The sequence below is a fragment of the Homo sapiens genome, chromosome 3 (assembly GCF_000001405.40).
Source record: "Homo sapiens chromosome 3, GRCh38.p14 Primary Assembly".
Classification (NCBI taxonomy): domain Eukaryota; kingdom Metazoa; phylum Chordata; class Mammalia; order Primates; family Hominidae; genus Homo; species Homo sapiens.
The window spans coordinates 21,507,437-21,527,786 of record NC_000003.12 but is presented as its reverse complement, the minus strand read 5'-3'; the positions used below and the strand labels follow the sequence as shown (position 1 = coordinate 21,527,786).

Here is a 20,350-nt window from a genome sequence, read left to right as displayed (position 1 = left end):
GGCTTAGAAGAAATAGTTTTTTTTTTTAACATAGTTTTTCTGCAGTGAGCATTCTGGTTTTCAGGCCATTCTGCTCCATGAGGTTTTGGTGATTTAGCAAGTCATGGCCATTACAGACACTAGGGCTACTGAAGACCAGAGGAAAGTCAATCTTAAAATACTAATCTGTGGAGGAAAGCCTGAAGTTAATGATATTTCTATGGATAATTAAGATTTGACTCCTCTGTAGTCTTTAACGATTTATTTTAAAGATAACCAATAAATCATTCTATTCAGTAATTTGATGATAACCTTTTCTATAACCTTTCTATTAATATTTTAGGAGTAGAAAAAAATTCATACTGGAGGTGAAATGAATTATGTTGGGTATATAAATAAAGTTCGGGGCCTAGTTGAGAACTGCACCTTCATGTTTATAGCTTGTTTCTGACTGTACGAAGGTATAGCACTTCTCCCTAAGAATGCCAACCATCATGAGGATGTAAACCAAGAAATCTTCGTCAAATGAAGAAATGTTGAAGACAGTGGTTACTGTAACAGTATGCACAGTGTGATTCATTTTTTTTGTATAATAATATGTAATTATCATTCAACAAATAGATACTGAGCACCTACTATGTACCTACTGATAGAAAAATATATCCCTGAAAGTCTGAAAGAATTAACACTGGATAACTAGTTTATAAGTTACTTTATATTACACCTTTTCCTTATTTGTACTTTTAAGATTTTCTACATCATGGATTTTTTTTTTGAAAAGAGTGAAAGTATTTAAGATAACTTATTAATGCTATTAAAGATATTACCTCATCTTTGTGCTTTTCTAAATGATAGAATCAAATGCAGATCTGTTTCCAGATACTCACTTATAATATGGAAATACCTATTAGTAGTACTAAATAAGATAATAGTGCTCAGTTAAGAACGATCGCGTCAGATGGGTGAAGTTTGCTTCTGGAAGCCATTCCAATTAGCTAATTCATGACCAAGCATTCAGATCCTTTATTTCCTTTCCAAAATCTATTGTTTTCAAAATCTATTGTTCCAGTGAATGAATTAGCATTAAATTGTCCTGTCTTGTATGACAGTTACCAATAATATACATGTTGCGAAATCTAACGGACACTTCTACACCCTCCTATCTGTTATAGCAGCAGCAGTCAATAGTGATAGGCATTCCCTTTCAGAAGCTCTTATCACTCTTGCTTCCATGACACTAGATTTTTTTGAGTTTTTATCCTATCTCCATGGCTGCATGTTCTACATCTCCTCTTCTTGCACCACTTTTGCAATAATGTATATATAGATATATTGCTATGTCACAGGCAGAAACATTGCCGCATGTATCAATATTGAAATGAACAAATATATAAACAAAACTAGTCTTCAATGCAGAGGAGTGATACTTGAACTAATAGCTCAAGTTTTAGGAAATGGAAGAGCAATGAGCAGAGGCACCTGTGTAGCCCTTCTGCTTGGAAGTTTGTGTGCAGGACCAGCCCTGCAAAGGTGAAAACACAACTACAGATAAACAACTTTAAGGAACAGGCACTCTACAATTCCTTATCAAAAACTAAATTTTGGAATACTTTTACAAACTTCATGCTTGATTTCTCTTAGTTTCCATGCAGCTTGAATCATTGAATCATTCTTGAAGTTCTTTTGTTGTTTTAACACATTAAATTAGCTAATTACAGCTGAATATGTAGTGGAAAATAGCATCTGTTTACGGTGTAATAATATAAAAATTACTTACCAGTAACAGAATAAGGAGCAATTTGCAAAAGCTAATCATATTTGTGCACTTGTCTACAAAAAGTAAATTGTTAATATATGCCCAAGGGGAAAAAAAATCACTTGCTGGTTTAGGAAATGAAAGCAGTGATATTAACAACATCACTTAGACAACCGCTGTATTTCAGATTGGAATGTCTCAATTTGTCATAAAATGTAGGTGTTTACTAATTTTTTTAACTAGCTTTGACCATGGTAAATTCAAACAATTTGGAGATTAAGATCTCATAGAAAATCAGATGGTCTAAAAAATTTTTTAATGTCTGCAAAGTCAAAATTTTAATAGTTTTTTTTTTTTTTTTTTTTTTGAGATGGAATTTTGCTCTTGTTGCCCAGGCTGGAGTGCAGTGGCGCGATCTCTGCTCTCTGCAACCTCCGCCTCCCAGGTTCAAGCAATTCTCCTCCCTCAGCCTCCTGAGTAGCTGGGATTACAGGCATGCACCACCACGCCTGGCTAATTTTGTATTTTTAGTAGAGACGGGGTTTCTCCATGTTGAGGCTGGTCTCGAACTCCTGACCTCAGGTGATCTGCCCGCCTCGGCTTCCCAAAGTGCTGGGATTACAGGCATAAGCCACCATGCCCGGCCCAAAATTTTAATAATTCTTACTTAGAGAAAACTTTTTTCTTCCTCAGTGCTAACGGCAAATGCCATTGGAAAAAAAAAATACACGCCAAATGCAGTCTCTGTTTGGCATTTCTTCCTCAAATCACTGAATATACCTTTAAGAGGTCAATTTAAAAACTGAAAATTAATATCTGAAAATATTGAAAAAACACAGAGTAGAATTTTAGAAATCTCACTGAGTTGCAGCTTTTTGTTTGTTTCCCTACATTTAGAAGCTGGAGGTGCTTACATTTTTGTAATTATTGAGACTTTTAAATGATATATTTGTAAAATATTAAAAAATACATGATTTACTGAATGGACCCTTTTTTCTCTGGTTGTCATAGACAGCAACGAATGGCACATTCAAAAGTAAGATCATGTAGTGGTGTGGTTTTCTCCCCTATATTTATCAGAGAGAAAAAGAATTCTATGTGAAGTTAATCTTTAAATTCCCTTTCTCTAGATGCCAGGGTGAAACCTATTCAACTAATAGTCTTAGTTCAGATATGTTAATAACATTCATTAAGACACAGCTCTCTTTTATATATAGTCAGCCCTTGATTAATACCCCCATCCTGCCTTCCTGCTTTTGACCTCCCCTTTATAAGATTTCCGTAAATGTTAATTCCATCCACTACAATTTTAACTCAGGGAGAACAACCTTACTGCCAGGTTTGGAGGACAACTCACTGTAGCCTTCTATAGTTGGACTTTACGAATCCCCTCTTGCTGTTCTAGTGATAGGACTTTTATCCTTATGAATTTGGCCTCTAGAGACCAAATTCTGAGAGATTATTTTCTATATACAGAGAGAAATATGTTAACTTTCTAGTTAACTTAGTGTGAGGATGAAAAGAGAATGATTCATTCTTTGTTTGGAACTTTAAGATCTTAAGCACTTTCAGAAAAGACTTAAAGACTTTTTTAAAGCTAAGTGATGATGTCCAGTGAAGAATTTGGAAATATGTTGTCCCATAAATGGTCAGTTGGAGTCTTAGTTCACTCATTCAAATGTTGCAGCTGATGAAGGATTGTGTTTCAGTGCTTAAACAGGAAAATTCTTTTTGTTTGTCTTTCAAATGACATTTCCCAGTGGCTTCAGTTACCATCTGTTGCTGATTAATTTCCCAATTTAGCTACAGCCTAGAATTCATCTCTAATCTACCGACCACATAGCTGCAGAGCCCACATTTTACTTAGGTGTTTTTAAGGATCATTAAACTCAACGTATCCTAACCCAACTCATGCTCTTCCCCCAAACCTTGGGACTTCTTTGAATATCAACCATTCTAGGAAATGAAATCTCCAATCGTGCATTTGCAAGAGGCAGAAACCTGCAAGGCATCTTTGAGACCACCCCTCAAAATTCATCATCAATTCTGAAAATTTTTAATTTACATATTAGCCAAATGATTACTCATTTCTCTGTTTTCACCGTCATAATCAAATTCTTAGATGTGGCCATCTCTTACTTGTGCAGCTATAATGATCCTTTTACCTTTCACTCCTTCCCCAGTCTTGCCCTCCTCTTCTCATCTAGACTCCCTGCCCCTGCCAGAGTGATGTCATACAAATGCAAACATGTTTTATTTCTTTTTTCAAAAAAAAAAAAATTTGCACAGCCTTCCATGTTAACAGAATAGAGAACATAATCTTTAAATGAACCTACAAACTTTGTGCAAGAGCTGACTTCTTTCCCCATCACCTGCTTTGTATTCCCAAGCATACTTCCTAATGTCTGAAAGCTTCACATTTGGGGATATAAGCAAAACATTGCATAGTCTTTTTTATTTTGCTTAGCATATCAACATTATTTTATTGGAATAGGTACTGAAAAATTGAAGAAGACCCTCAGAAGAGTGATGCACGTAATATTATTTAATCCATTTATGGGCCTGTGATAGACTGAGTGAAATTATATGAGTTAATTGTCACAGAAATCAATAATAATTCCTATGCACTATTTAGTCTTATGTCCTCTGAAGGATAAGCCACTGTGAAATCACATAATAAGGTTATTTATCATTGTACACTCTCTTTTGGGTTGAGAAGTGGGGCTACAAGTTTGGTTTCTGGAGTTAGACTTCAGTACAAGTTCTCTTCCGTTCATACTTTGTGGTTAAGCTGCTCTAGCTCTTAGATTCTCAATCCACCGATCTATAAAATTCCCATGATAGTTGCAATTCACTCATAGGCTTTTAAAGGGAATAAGTGAGGATATTCATATCATGTATTCATTCACTTATTCCACATGAAATATTCATATCAAGCCTTCAGCTCACTACCTGACACATTGGAGTGTTCCATAAATGCCTCACACAAACAACCACTGTGTGACAGAATAGCAGCATCTCCTTAATACATTTATGACACACTAAACTCTTCCTCCAAGAATCACCCCAGGAAAAATTCCTCTGGCCAAAATCCTACCAAGGACAACTAAATACTACCGGTGGATAGTGTGCTGTTAGCACCTAACTAAACACTAAACTCTTTGGATTAGAACTTTCTTGCTGACACAACTCACCTATACCTGCCTACATAGCCAGGCAGAAAACAAAAAATTTTTTTTCTTAATGCAATAGGAAAACTTTAAGCACAAAAAGAAATCAGTTATGTGTACATGTTCAGATAATTCAGGCTTCTAGAGTCATTGCCACTGTCCCTTCCCAGCTTACCCTCCCTCCCTCCAAGAGTTAATCTAGTCCCCAAACCACTTCGTTCTGCAATTTTGGTTATATAAAAGTTGCTGGGCATGGTGGCTCACATCTGTAATCCTAGCACTTTGGGAGGCTGAGGCAGGCAGATCACAAGGTCAGGAGTTTGAGACCAGCCTGGCCAATACAGTGAAACCCCGTCTCTACTAAAAATACAATAATTAGCTGGGTGTGGTGGCAGATGCCTGTAGTCCCAGCTACTCGGGAGGCTGAGGCAGGAGAAATGCTTGAACCCAGGAGGCGGAGTTGCTGTGATGAGCCAAGATCGTGCCATTGCACTCTAGCCTGGGTGACAGAGTGAGACTCTTGCTCAAAAAAAAAAAGTTAAAACAAAAGCAATGCTTTCTGTGGGTCCACCAAATATTTTTCTAAGTCTGGGAGGAAAGCATTATTTAAGAAGTTGGATGATTTCCCCAGATTTTGCATATAAAATGTCCCACTTCAGAGTTCTGTTTGGTCACAGGGGTGCCCTGAGATGGGGTCAGTTTGCTCAACTTTTCCTATTAAAAACATTTTTTTCTTTTTTCTCCAAAACCATAATTTTCATAAAAGCACAGTTTATTCACAATTTTCATCCATATCTAGAATTTCAGCCAGGGCACCGAATTGATTTATACAGAACATTCATTTTCCTTTATTTTGGCCAAAATTGGTATTTATTCTCATTATAGGGCCCTATTCTATCCCAAGAAGCCATAGATACTTCGACATAATTTATCTTACTGAATTTGGTGAAGCTCTTGCCAATTATTCTAAGGGCTGGTGTCTTTTTCTCCTAATTTTCTATGTATTCTTTATGTAGCTGGAAGATTAACCCCTCTGCAAAAGGAGTTACACATTTTTTTCTAGTATTTTTACAAATTTATATTACTTTGCCTATGGTATTTTTTTATAGAGACGTTTTTGGGGCTTTTTGTTTTATTAAGAGAAAGTATCTCACTCCGTTGACTAGGCTGGAGTACACTGGCTCACTGCAGCCTCAAATTCCTGGACCTAAGTGATCTTCCTACCTCAGCCTCCTGAGTAGCTGAGACTGCAGGCACATGCCACCACACCTGGCTTTAAAAAAATTTTTTAGCAGAGTTGGGGGTTTTGCTTTGTTGCCCAAGCCGGTCTCAAAATCCTGGCTTCAAGTGATCTTACCACTGTGGCCTCCCAAAGTGCTGGGATTACAAGTGTAAGCCACTGTGCCAGGCTAGAAGATTTATACATGCAACTTAATTTTTTAGTCTGACTTGTTCACCACTCTATCTCTAATTCATCAGTACCTACAAGAGCATCTGGTGTGCAGTAACTGTTCAATAAGTTCTTTGTGAATGAATGAACAGCTAAAGGAATTGAATATGGGTAGACTCCACCAAAAGAGTTCAGGTTTTAGAAGTTACTTGTGGTCTTGTTCTCCAGCCTTTCTCAATGTAACCAAAGTGCCTCGGAGAACTGTGACGATGTTTATTCTAACACTGGCAAAACATTTGGCTCAACTGTAAGCCATTATTTTGTGGACCCTGTGGATCTCATTAATAATTGAACATTTTAGAAATGATCTCTGGGGCAAGTTCATAAAAGGAACAATCAGAACTATTCTCAGATTTATGAATTAGAGATTGCAAATTCTACAAAACTATAGAGGGAAGACCTTCTTTGACTTATGGAGGAGTAGGAAATTTAGTCTTTTCCCCTAAGGTGTTCTTCAGCAAACACAGAGTATGTGTTATGTGACTATGTAGGGAGGAAATGTGTTAATGATGCCATACTCAATTTCTCTGTATTGGTTTTAGAGCATAAATATTTCATTTTAGAAGTTTAAAAATGGTGTTAACAAAGGACTAGCATTTCCCGAGTACTGAACATTTTTATGTGCATATTTAAAAGAATTTTGTCTTTTAGATAACCCTTAAAATGCAGAGTCATCACTGGAATTATTCATTGTATTTCTCAGATTTAAAAAGAACCTGTTAGTTATTCATTTAAATGTTTAAAAAGCAAAACAATCTCCATATTATTCCTTGGCTACATCCCTTGAAAAGAGAGAGTTCCCATAAATAGCACAATTTGTGTTTGATGGTAAGCTTCTTCCCAGAGAAAAAATAATAGTTTGTGTTTGTGCCAGATGGTTTTCCAGCATTAAGTGCCATAAAAATCCCCTGAAGTGTGTTCAACAGATAAGGCGAAGTGCCAAAGAATGACAGAGAATTAAGTTAAACCCTGTTCACATACAAAATCCATTGAGACTCCATATGCATATTTCCATTTTAAAATCAAAATGTGAAATTAATTCAACATGAATTTAATAGGCAACTATTTAGAGATGTATGATAGATCCTAGGGACAGGATGATGAGTAATATCAGGTCTTCCTCTCTCTGTTATGAGATCCACTCTCTGTTAGGAGAAACAGGCATTTAACCCTTCTTATGGCAGTGACATAAGTGCTACGATGCAGACATACCTAAGACTACATGGAGAAGGTGGCATCCCAACATCTACCAGGCAAGTACAGGTGCTCCAGGCAGAGGGAACTCTTTATACAAGGGCTTAAAAATGATTCTTCTTGTAACGTTTTCCTTAGGAAAACAAAGTGAGGAGAGCTATTGCTCATTTATCTACACTACACGTGCTAGAGAGCAGACATTGGGAGTAGCAGAGAGGGGAGCATTTGCTGGAGGAGGAAATTAAGGATTAGAGGAGACGCACATTTTATTTATGCCAGGATATAAAACAAGTTTTTCTCTGCTGTTGATACAAACATCTATGACAAGTTGATCTTTGAACATAATTAGAGTGAACATTTCTAATTCTTCCCCATCCTATTCAAATGGTGTGTGTCACACATGGAGCCAGGTATTAAGCTATGGGCATTCTGAAGGGATTTTGTACACTGGCTGAGCAGCTAGACGAAGTGGTTTCTCTGATTTTTCTCAGTTTTGTACAAACTTGAAATTTTTGTGCTTCTGTCACTAGAGTTAAAAGTCATTTAGATCTCTGATTTACAAAAAGCTCCAAAAAGGACTGAGCAAATTTTGCAGAGCCTGTCTTCCTTTTAGCTAGATTAGACTTGTGTGCTGGCTTCCAAAGCCCACTGCTATCCTCTGTTCCTCAATCAGGACTTCTCCTTTAGAGTTCAAGGAGATAGCTGTTTGAATTCAAGATATATACAAAAGCAAGGGTTTCTTTCATAATAGGAACCAGGCAGTAACTCTCAAATTAGCTTCCCTCACTCAGGTAAGCACTCTCTACTATATCATTCACTTTAGATACTTGAAAACATTAAATACCTAATGTTAAGGAATGGTGAAGTTTATAGATGAGTTGAGAAGCTTTGAAAAGTGACCCCATCTAGACTATTTTTTTCACAGCCATGTAAGTACTTAGTGACAAAGTACTTTCTTTGCTTCTAAAAATTAGTTACCAAATGTATCTGAGAATTTGTGACATGCTTCTCTTCCTCTTCTTCATGTGTATTTAGAATGTTTCTTTTCCCCACTGAGTAGTGGTGGTGTATGAGAATCACAGTAATCCTGTGGTATTATCTTTCCCCCCCTTTTTTTCTATTCCCGTAGCTGTTACTGTTCATTTCTGTATTGAAGAGTACAGAAGACAGGAATACATTTAAAGTAAAGCATCAATCACTTGAGCTCAAAAGAATACCCTTAATTGAATCATGTTTTTCACTTCGGGAAAAAATGCGAGTGAATATTCATTTTTATTCATAATGTAATCTTCTATTTACATGATAACTACACAATAACAAGTTGAAATGAATTATTAAATATTCTATATGGGGCATGTAATTAAGAAATAAATATATCTATATCCTGTCTTTTCTTGCATTGCATAATTTGTCTTCACAGCAGTAAGGAAATTTTATAACAATGAACTATTCTATCTTTAAATTTCTTCTTCAAATGTTTTGTTAAATAGAGCAGTAGAGAAGACAATCTCTTGGCTTACCAACATGATTTCTGTTTGCCTGTTGGCTAGGTAATTTTCTCAATAAAAAAACCATAAGTATATAAGGAAAAAAACTAGACATGGCTAACACTAACTCAGCTTAATGCAAATAAAACAGTGGATTAGATATTCTTTGTTATAGTGAAGTTTTAAGAGTTTGATACAGGGGTTGATTTTTGCTTATTATTACTGTCATTATTTTTATTGACAAGGGGGTTCCTCTAGCCCTTGCAAACTGGATCATAACAATGCATTCAATATAGAGATAAAAGTAATGAGATCAGGAATTGTCCTGCGACAATAATTACCTTGGAGAGAAAAGATAAAATCTGGAAAGAGAAAATCGCAAGGACTTGGAAAGCACTCATATGTAATGTTAGAATTATAAGGATGTTTTCAAGGTTAATTTGCTATTTGAGTTCATCCTTCTTGGATAGAAATTCCCCAAATACACATGTATCTGAGTTATTTTTGACATGTTTTTAAGGAAAAAAAAATCGATAATTTTTAGGGTGAGTAATATACATTGTTCAAGTAAAAATGTTCAATCTTCAAATGATTATACATTCATCTTAAGAAGCCTGGACTTCAGCAAGAAGTGCCAAAAGAAATGGCCACTTTGGGAGTAAAATGCATTTATACTTAAGATGAATAGTTTTTAAACTTTAGAGTTAACCAAATCACCTGCAGGGCTTGTAAAGTACCCATTACTGAGCCTCCCTCTCAGTTTCTGGTTCAATGTGTCCAGGATGGAGATTGAGAATTTCTATTTCTAACAGTGTCCCAAGCCCACACTATGATGTTAAGATTGCTGGTCTGGGGACCAGAATTTGAGAACAAATGCTTTATATGAATGTTAAATGAAGCTGAGAGTTGATAATCAAAAAGTTAAGATGAGTAAGAATTTGGAAATCTGCTGCTGAACTGGTATATACAAAACTGATATTCCAATTATTCAAAAAGCCACTGAGTAATTAGAATGCATACTGATCTTCACCCATATGGCTGCACCTGTGCATGTGACTTAACTAGTCAGATTACCGTATGCAACTACTCTCTCAGGTTCCAATCAGCCTAGTTGTATTAACTCTGATTGGAGGTGGGGAGGTTTCACAGTGACTCAAGGGCCAATTAAATCCTTTCAAATTCAAGGTTTATTGCAAGGCTTTCACACACCAACAATTATGCCAATGTATTTAACACACACAGACAGTAATAAGAAAAAAAGGGAATAAACTACTGATGAGTAGCTCAGGAAACCAACACATTGCTGGCCATGGGTTTGGGGTGTTGCAGCACTTAGGCAGTAAGGAGGCCTCAGCATTCTCACCAGCAGGGAGTCTGCAGGCATCTTAGCCCTGGTCAGTTTCTTTTCTGTTTCTACGACCCTTCACAGGTGTGTTCATGGCCATTATCTCGGCAGTCGTTTGGCTTCACTTACTTGCCAAGTCTCAGGGTGTCTGGACACAGCAGGTGCTACTTTATCCCCTCAGTCTACCATATATGTCTTTATAACTTTGAGGGGTCAGCAGTTTAACTGTGGGCTGAGTCACTTGTCACAAGTGACTCCATTTTGAGAAATTTAGGATCATAAACAGTAATATATATTATCAACATTAAAAAAAGATAAAATTTTAAGCTTTTTTTCCTGTAATCATTTAAGATTTTAGGATATTAGATTTTATCTGATAATTTTTATCTCTGAAATAATCTAAGCTAAAATTTAATAAATTAGATTTTTTTAAAAAAACAAAAAAAGGGAAAAACATTTCAGTTGGCTGAAATGTTCTCTTCTTTCCCCAAGGAGGATGGTGACATCTCTAATAACCATTCATTTTTTCTTTTCTGGTGTTACATTTTAATATTGCAAGGGAAGAAAAAAATCATTCCTCTATCCTTCATAATTCCTAGCTGGGACAGACCCTTACAAAAAAGACAGATTAACAGGAGAAAAAACAAACAAAAGTTTACTAAGATGTATAACTCAGGTATGCATGCACGATGACCCAGAGAAATTAGTAAACCCCAAGAGTAGACTCAAAGAGATGACTTTGACTTCAGGCTTGAATACCATCCTTTGCTGAAACAAGGAAAAAAGTATATAAAGAAAGGCCCAGTTATGGGGAGGTGGCCAGGAGGAGTACTATAAACAAGAGTAACGTGTGTTATGCAGATTTAAATTCATGCCATCTCCATTGATCAGAGTCTCTAGTGATTTAGAGTCATCTTTATCTTCCTGGTACTGGGAGGGAGACATATAGATGTAAATTTCTCTTTAAAAAAAAGGGTAACTTCTCTGCTCTGAGAAATTCTCCTTTGTCTGCTATTTCTGAAAATAATCAGCTCAAAATGGTCTTTATACTATATTTGCAGTGGAATATTCTGGTCTCCTATTGTAATTATCTTTTTGGGTTCTTCCTGCCCACTGCACACAGAAAACCAGTTCACTGACACCGTCGTACTGCAGTAAAGAAAGAGTTTAATTAACATAAGGCTGGACATGTGGGAGAACTCAAGTTATCACTCAAATTAGTCTCTCCAAAGACTCTGAGGTTGGTGTTTTTCAAGGACAATTTGGTGGGCAGGGGACTAGAGAATGGTTGCTACTGATTAGTTGGGGATGCAATCATAGGGGTGTGGAAAATGTAATGAGTCCTCCTCTGGGTGGGGGACCACAGGACCTGTGGAATCATGAGTCATGAGTTTTGGTGGGGTTCCTCAGTTGTCAGAATGAAAAAGTCTGAAAAACATCTCAAAAGACCAACTTTAGGTTCTACAATAGTGATGTTATCTATAGGAGCAATTGGGGAAGTCACAAATCTTGTGACCTCTGGCCACATGACTCCTGTGCAGTAAAGGATTACAGTAACTAAGCCTACATTTTAGCAGGATTAGGGTCCCTTCCATAATCCTAATCTTGTGGCCTTTTATAGGTCTTACAAAGGTGGTTTCAGCCCTGAACAAGGTGGGGATCAATTTTAGGAAGGGCCTATTATCCTTGCCTCAATGTTAAACTATATATTAAATTTCTCCCATGGTTAGCTTGGCCCACGCCCAGGAATGAGCTAAGATGGGCCACCTATGAGGTTATAAGCAAGATGGAGTCAGTTGTGCTAAATTTCTCTTGCTTTTGTAATCTTTGCAAAGGCAGTTTCATTCCAGTCATGTTTTGGGGTGGCATGTCCTGAATTCCATCAGTGTGATAAAGTTTATTTTATTTTAATTCAAATTTAATATATGATAAAATTACATGACATCACAAACTAAAAAGGCTACCTTGTTCTTTTTGAAATTATTTGTGTTCATGAAAATTAATTGGTTATGGTTATTGGATATATATGCTTATAATAAATGTCTGAGTTTTTAAAAAGCATAAGACATGTTTTGTAAAAGAGATGTGAAAAGTATACAAGGTATTGGTGCTAATGGAATAAAAGAAATACTAAAAAGTAACTTCTCAGTGAATTTTATAGGGCAATAACAATTTATAGAGAAGTTTCTTATTTAGCCAAATAAGATAAATGTGCATGAGCATGTTTCAAAATGACAAAACCCCTCTCTCAAATGTTAGCTAATTAAGACTTATTTTTATCTACTGAAACTTCAGTTGCATTTCAACTAAAAACCATTCTGAAATATTGAAGATAAAATTTGAAGATTGAAAAGTGGCTGACTACTGGTGACTAAAGTGTGGTCATTATTACATCTAAAATGGCGTTCTGTTCTACAGGAACGCGTGTGTGCATATCTTTAATGTCAGCCCTTGCCTCTGGGATGACACTTATTAGATTTAATGGTGTCATGTGCTATTTCAAGATTGGCATAGTGGTTTTTATAACACAATGTGCTAATATTCCACTTATTATTTAAAGTGTTAAAAGAAAAACTATAGACAAATTAAATTTAGCGGAGTTTAATTGAGCAAAGAACAATACAAGAATTTGACAGCCTCTAGAACCAGGAAAGGTTTAATAAGACTCCAGGGCTCTCATGTGCCTGAATAACATTTATAGACACAAAAAGGAAAGTGACATACAGCAAGCAGAAATGAGGTACAGAGATAGCCTGATTGGTTAAAGCTCCCTGTTTGTCCTATTTGAATTTGGTTTGAACCGTTGGCTGCCTGTGGTTGACTTAAGTCCAGTTGCTGTGACTGATTTAGATTCCGCTACTTGTTATACAGAAAGTAACAGTCTGTTTACACATCAAGTTACGTTACAGTTTACTATGTATGCGGAAACTTTTAGGCCAAATTTAAGATAGGTAGGAGGTAGCTTTAGGCTAAACTTAATTCAATTTAATAAAAATAGCTGTTAAAGCTCAAATCTTATTGTTTTGCTCACGTCCATATGTACTATGATCACTCGATTCTGCTTTAGTTTTAAAATACAAAATTCTGAAATACGGTAGAATGAATTAGTACAGTTACTTATTTAACTTAGAAGTCATATCTGTGAAAAATAATTATTTGCATGTGTATTGAGAATTCCCAGGTGTCTGGCAATGACGACCCTCAGAAAATTGCTGATAAATAATAAGACACAATCTCTTAGGGAATTTGTTGTGCTAGTATATGGTATAACTGTCCTACACTCCTCTGCTCAAAAGAAAAGCAGAGGAGGCCCAAAGAGACATCCCAGGCCAACTGATGCTTTAAAAAAATCTCTCAGTAAAATTCTTTCTTAGGCTGCAGCTTTTTTTTACAGTCACAGAGAGAGAAAATGTGGATGAATAATCTATCTACTTCAATCTATTTGTCTATCTGCATCTATCAAGTGGCCCAAAGGGATAAGGAGACTTGCTGGGTTTTCTGCCTTCACATAGGGAATACACTGTTATACAGCATACCTGAATCAAGGTAGATCTAGAGTTATGGCGTCACTATAGATAAATTAGAAAAAATTATGCTAGGATAATTTAGGAACTGTCCAATAAATTCTATAAACATTACCTAAAAGTCAATGATAAAGAAAATTTAAAATATCTAGAAGGGTTATCTGTCTATATTAGCCTTCCAACTTGTATGCCCACTTCCACCCCAACACACATACCCTGCACAATTACAATCATATTGATATTGATGTCGTCTGCAACCATCACCCCACTATACTCAATTTCTCCTAAATTCTACATGTCTTGGTTTATCTATAACGCCTTGGACCTTCATATAATTTATTTACTTATTTTTAATTTGGGAAAGGCTTATTTGCCTTTAAATCAGATAATTTATAATTAAAATAATTATTATCAAGGTGTTTTGGTACTGTCATTCAATAAACGAGTGAATATGCATTTCATTTTGTCTTATTTTGCATTTTGCATTTTAAGATATTAAGTGTCTCTGTTGGGAGCCTATCAACTTCTGGTCATTTTGTCACCCTGTTCTTCCCACAACTCCCTGAGCTGTTTCACTTGTTAGAGGGAATTGGTTTAGTTGTGCCTGTGCAGAGAGGTTTTTGTTTGTTTGGTATTTGGGTTTGTTTTGGTTTGTTTTTGTTTTTGTTTTTTGGTGTAAGACTTTCTTAACTTGTGGGCTTCCTTTGTAGTAAGTTTCTTAATTTCAAAAATAGTGATAATCACCTGGTCCTGTGATATGTTAAAACAAAGTGTTGTTTAATTTTAAATGCCACTGAGAATGTTAGATTTGTTAGGAACCTATGAAATGTCTATTTTGGAGGTATAAGTGGAGATAGCACGATTAATCTCACCCCCCATCTTTTAATATATATTATCTATTAAACATTCACTTGTATCACCAAGGAAAGGGTTACTTGCAAAGAGAAGAGAAACTCTGCTTTAAGGGAAATGATATATCCAGATGCCTAAAGAAGATGACCTGTGATCCTGTGATTTTAATTGAATATAGCATATCGTTCTCAAATGTTATGGCCGAAGGACTTGATATACTAAAAATGAGAATTAGGCAGGGAAAAAAAAGACAAAATTTTGTCCTCAAAGTGGCATTCTCCATGTAGAATCAACTTAATCCAATCTATCGCTGGTTCCTCAATTAACTATAGCATGTCTTAACTTCATATTTTGGCTCACACTATGTCTTTTGATGTTATGTGTTGTTGGAAAACTTGTAACTGATGCATGAGTGTGCTCTCTGTTCAAACTGTTTCTAATATATAATTTTCTTGTCCAGTGTTCTTTCAATAAGGGTACCTAGTCCTTTGAGGATATCTTGCTAGAATGATGCAAATGAAGATGTGGACTATTTAATTATTTGTTAAAACATATTATATTGCAACACCCTAGTTATCACAGGTTCTGTAATGAAGAGGACAATGTGATTATTATTTTTTGGCAAAGTGAAGTACTTAGTTTAAATAAGCAATGGGAAGTAATGGATAATCTAACAGGAGTAATCCTCTACTGAGATATCCTTTTGTGGGGGACATTTGGAAAGGTTATGACCTGGAAAACCTAAGTTAAGAATCTTCCTGGTCACCCTTACCCTACCCACCAACTACAGTATTTTCTCCCCCAAGAAATAAACATTAATAAACATACATTTATTTAAATATGACTTTCTATCTCTATGTACTTCTTTTTTTTTTTTTTTTTTTGAGATGGAGTCTCGCTCTGTCACCAGGCTGGAGTACAGTGGCGTGATCTCGGCTCACTGCAACCTCTGCCTCCCGGGTTCAAGCGATTCTCCTGCCTCAGCCTCCCGAGTAGCTGGGACTATAGGTGTGTGCCACCACACCCAGCTAGTTTTTGTATTTTTAGTAGAGATGGGGTTTCACCATGTTGGCCAGGATAGTCTTGATCTCTTGACCTCGTGATCCACCCACCTCAGCCTCCCAAAGTGCTTGGATTACAGTCATGAGCCACCACGCCCGGTAATTAATGTATTTCACTATACCGCTCCCCCACAAAAAAAAAAAATGCTCTTAGGAAAATAAAACATGAGAAAATGCATATCACTCTAAACTCTCTCTCTATATATCTCAGATGGCACAAGCAAAAGAACTGGATTGGCCCCATTAGGTAGTACAAACACACTGGAGCCTCCCAACAATGGACTGGGGCATGAAAGATCCATGCGCTGAAAAAATGACACTAAGTTGAACTTCTCAGACTACCCTTGGTAAGAAGTGAGGAGAAAGAATCTGAAATTGCCCGGCTTCTGTGTGCTCCATTTGAACTTAAGAAGTGCATTTGCTTTTGAACTCTAAAGCTTCAATCTCAGTCTCCAGGGTGCTTACTTCCCCTGTTTTGTGTGAACCTTTCCTTGTAGACACCTGTTGAGGACTGTATTAATAAGACACATTGTAGAAAGAGAAAATGCATTTTCTAAGCCAAGAAGGTGAAAGCTACTCTTTTCTAGGGCTCTTGTTAATCTTTGGGAGCCCAGCATCTTCTGTGGCAGAACAAAGATGATACAGGTGTAAATTCTTATTTTTTTTCCCCGCTCCCACAAAGAAAATGTTGTTGATGTGTCAGTGTTCAGCTACATTTCTCTTAAGATAAACAACAGAGTATTTCTTCCTTCTATCCTGAGGTTTTACAACTGGATTCCCATTGCTTTCTAGCATCATTCTAAATAGAACCCCACTGTCTGGCCACGGCCAGAATTAGCTCGAATGGTACCTGTTATTGAAAGGGAGTCTGTATTTGCAGTAATACAGAGAATGCCAGTTTAGAAATGAGCCTGATTGCATGGTTCATTTTGTTCTCCTTTGTAGAGCCAGGCTGCGGCCCACTACAAAGGCACGAAACATGCCAAGAAGCTCAAAGCACTGGAAGCCATGAAAAATAAGCAGAAATCTGTAACTGCCAAGGACAGCGCAAAGACTACCTTCACCTCCATCACTACCAATACCATCAATACCAGCTCTGACAAAACAGGTTAAGCAATGATCTTTGTTGTTGTTGTCCTCGTCGTCGTCGTTGGGGATTCCCTCCCTTGTCTAGCCCCATGTCTGTTTACTTATGTGCCTGCCATATTGATTCATGCTTGAGCCATCTTTCTGTATAATGGTAATTGTTTCCTCTCATTTTTCCAAACCCCTGCAAGATTAAGATAATCACTAATTATATTCCAGATTTTGCATTTTGCAAGAGTCCTGTGGCTGTTTCAGAGGAATAGTCATAAAAGGCATTTGAAGCCATGTACCCCATAACTCTTTTTGAGAAATGAACCTTTTCAGTGTGCAGCATTTGCATCTTGTATGCAGCACCTTAGCTTATAACTGCATGGCAGATTTAATTTAATTGTGAGTACACAGCAAAGTATGCTAAATGAATTGAGAAGGCCCCAATAAGGGCATTATTACAGAAAGCCTTTATTGTCATAAATTCCAAATACTGCATTGTTTTAAGTAGTGGCTGTGTGATACTGGGCTTGTTATGGCTGGGTAACCTTCCCTCTGCAAACACAGGTAAGTGTTATTGATACCAATTACTCTTTTTAACAGAGGCTTCACGGTGAAATAATGGCCTCTGAATGGCCCCTTGGGATAGCTCCTGCCAACGACCAGCTTATTCATAATAGGGGAAGCTAGTGAGGTTTCCCCAAGCTGACATTTTAAATATAAGACCACTGGTTTTCGAAATCTACAGAGAAAATATTCCTCTGTGATTCATGGATATACCTCTAATAAATCACTTTCTAGAACACAGAGACTGTTACACCTCAATTGTTTTCCAGTCCATGTGAATGGCAATGGTAAGGAAACGTTCATATCATCACCAATGATAGTGTCTTAACTGAAAGAGGATCTTCTGGATATGACTGATGAAAACAGAAAATAAACAGTGAATGAATAGAATAGATTACGACAACCTTATTACACAATGTAACATCCTTATTACACAATGGACACATATCAGCTCTTCCAAGGACTGGGGATGCTGCAAGTGAATCTGTAAGGGATAATGATATTCTTAGTTCCTGTGGCATTTTGTATTTTCTTCAGGTATTATTGTAGATGCATCATGCTGCCCTCCCTAAGAGCCCTGTGTTTTCCCTCAGCCTGAATACATGTCTCATCTTTGTATGCTGGCAACTGGTCTGGCATGGGATAAATGCTGAGTAAAATGTCTGTTGAATGACTGAGACTTATTTCACTCCTTTGGTTTGGTTCTCTGATATAGCCAAGTTTGTGCCACCACATACTAAAGAGGAAAAAAAAAGACAGGCTTGTCATATTCACTTCTTTGTTATCCAGAGCAAGAGCTGGATTGTGCCATTTTATTAATTTAGATTTAAACCTTTTAGGGAAAGCTTTGGTCTTTTCTCTAATAATCGAAGACTACCTGCTTTATTTTGAGGGCTGAAAGAGAATGAGTGGTAATGAAGCAGGTAAGTGTAATTTCTGCTCCCGGATATTGGGTCACAGGTGGGGATCCCCAAAGCAGCATCTGGCATAGAGAAGTGCAGAAAAATCCTGAAGCCTTTTGATGCAAAGAAGGCAGTAGGTAGGGAGAACAAAGAGATGAGTTTGATGTAAAGGGTTAAAGTGACGTTTTTCCTTGCTCCAAATTTTTTCTACTTTTAGACTTTTTAAATCAACAATTCATCTTTGGGTTATCTTGACTTTTTTAAAATATGAAAATATGTGTTTCATTAAGGATGCACATCATTTAAAAATATATATATGTGTGGTAGGTAGAGCTGCTAACTTGAGTTAAGAAAAGCCCCCCGGAGCTTGCTGTGAGCCGAGATTGTGCCACTGCACTCCAGCCTGGGCGATAGAGCGAGACTCCATCTCAAAAAAGAAAAAGAAAAAAAAAAAAAGCCCCCAGGTGTGTTGTCTCTGTTAAGTAAATGGGTTGTGACTAGATACTTTCATCTCTTAACTTAGAGACTAGAATACGTCAACCTAGAATAATCCAAAGGGTCAGAATCTAGTTTAAAGAGAGTTTATCCAAGTGTTAAGTTGGAGAATGGCTGCCCAGAAAACACAGATTCCAAAGAATGGAAGTCAGTATTCCAAAGTGTAGAAGTTTAGTATCATTTTTATAGACAAAGTTTAGGGAAGTTTAACAGAATTTCAACACCTCTTTCTATATAAGGCTTAATGCTTAGTTACAGTAATCTGACATTGGTTGGGGTGGTCTTATTCTTTTGGGAAAGGTATATTTAACATTTTATACTGAGGATTTAATACTCATGGGGTCTTTTGCACCATCTAGTCTTAGGTACAGGACAATAAAGGATGTAGTTAATATATAACAAATATCAGTAATTGGAAGGGGGAGGCAGTCTGGTGTCTGGTCTCTCCTAGTCATTTACAGAACAAGAAAATGAGGAAGAGAATTAACCCCAAAGAAGCAGAAATTGCAAACATGTTATGTGACTCAGACACCAGTGCTTAACACCCCCACCCCACCCCTTGGCATAATAAATTTAGAGGGTCCTTAAATTTTATTTTCTTTTACAACTTTGAAGGGTGGCAGTCTTCCAGGATCTGTCCTTTCAGAAGTTGAGTGGTAACAAACTTTGGATTTGTCTTTTGAAGATAACATAAACATGCCAGAACTTACCTAACAGTGGAAATGGTGTTGAGATGATGAAGCACCCTTCCAAGCTGGAGCTAGAGAAAATTTCAAAAGGGCAGAAGAGATAGTAAAGTCTGTAAAGTTGGTGCAGATATTCTAAAGCCAAAAGAAGGAAGCGATGGACATTAGGAAAGACATTGCTTTCCTAATCCATGAGGACCTATATCAGGAAAAAACAAAACAAAACAAAAAAACAAACAAAAAAGCAAGTTATATAGGTTGAGAGGCTAAGAGTTCCAGCACACTCATCAGATATTTTGAGCCAAATTCTCTTTAAACTGAATTTACACAAAACTCTCTATGAGAAAAGACACCCATTTCGTAGACCCTTATTCTATTTGTATTGCAGTATAAACCTGAGGCATCTAGGCTAACAAATTTGAGTTTTCTTAAAGCAATTACATGTTCTTTTTATTACTATGTGCTTCCTCATACTGATTAGCACAACTCTGAAAACAAAATGAGTCTGAGCCTGGCACAGTGGCATGTGGCTATAGACTCGCCTACTTGGAAGGCTGAGGCACAAACAATTCCTTGCATCTGGGACTTTGAGACTGGACTGGGCAAAATAAGTGAGACCTCATCTCAAAACAAAAGGACTCTGAGCTAATTTTGTAGAATAGTTAAATACTTGGCAGAAGGAGAAGAAGAGGTAGATAAGACTCTAGAATCAAAGATCATGCATTTTTTAATAATAAAAAGAAAATTTCTGGTAATGCACAAGAATCTTTTGTGATTTGTAGGCTTGTCCATATATAAAAGATAGAGA

The 20,350-nt window shown here is 36.7% G+C and overlaps 1 protein-coding gene across 19 annotated transcripts in view, besides 1 other annotated feature; it reads left to right on the top strand.

Annotated features, from left to right (window-relative positions):
- The window catches only part of ZNF385D (zinc finger protein 385D), a 960,546-nt gene that overhangs the window by 844,977 nt on the left and 95,219 nt on the right, over nt 1-20,350 (top strand). For 18 of the 19 annotated variants that reach the window (NM_024697.3, XM_017007192.2, XM_017007191.2 and 15 more), the window contains one exon: nt 16,764-16,926. In NM_024697.3, the coding sequence (NP_078973.1) occupies nt 16,764-16,926 (163 nt within the window). Of the gene's footprint in view, nt 1-16,029; nt 16,166-16,763; nt 16,927-20,350 lie in introns of all 19 variants that reach the window. The other variant, XM_017007201.2, reaches the window with a different exon arrangement.
- Nucleotides 10,117-10,618: an enhancer, noted in NCBI's record as "NANOG hESC enhancer chr3:21558661-21559162 (GRCh37/hg19 assembly coordinates)". NCBI's record gives its function as "activates a minimal SCP1, AML or CMV promoter by ChIP-STARR-seq in primed H9 embryonic stem cells {active_cell/tissue: H9 hESC(primed)}" and the evidence as "EXISTENCE:reporter gene assay evidence [ECO:0000049][PMID:30033119]".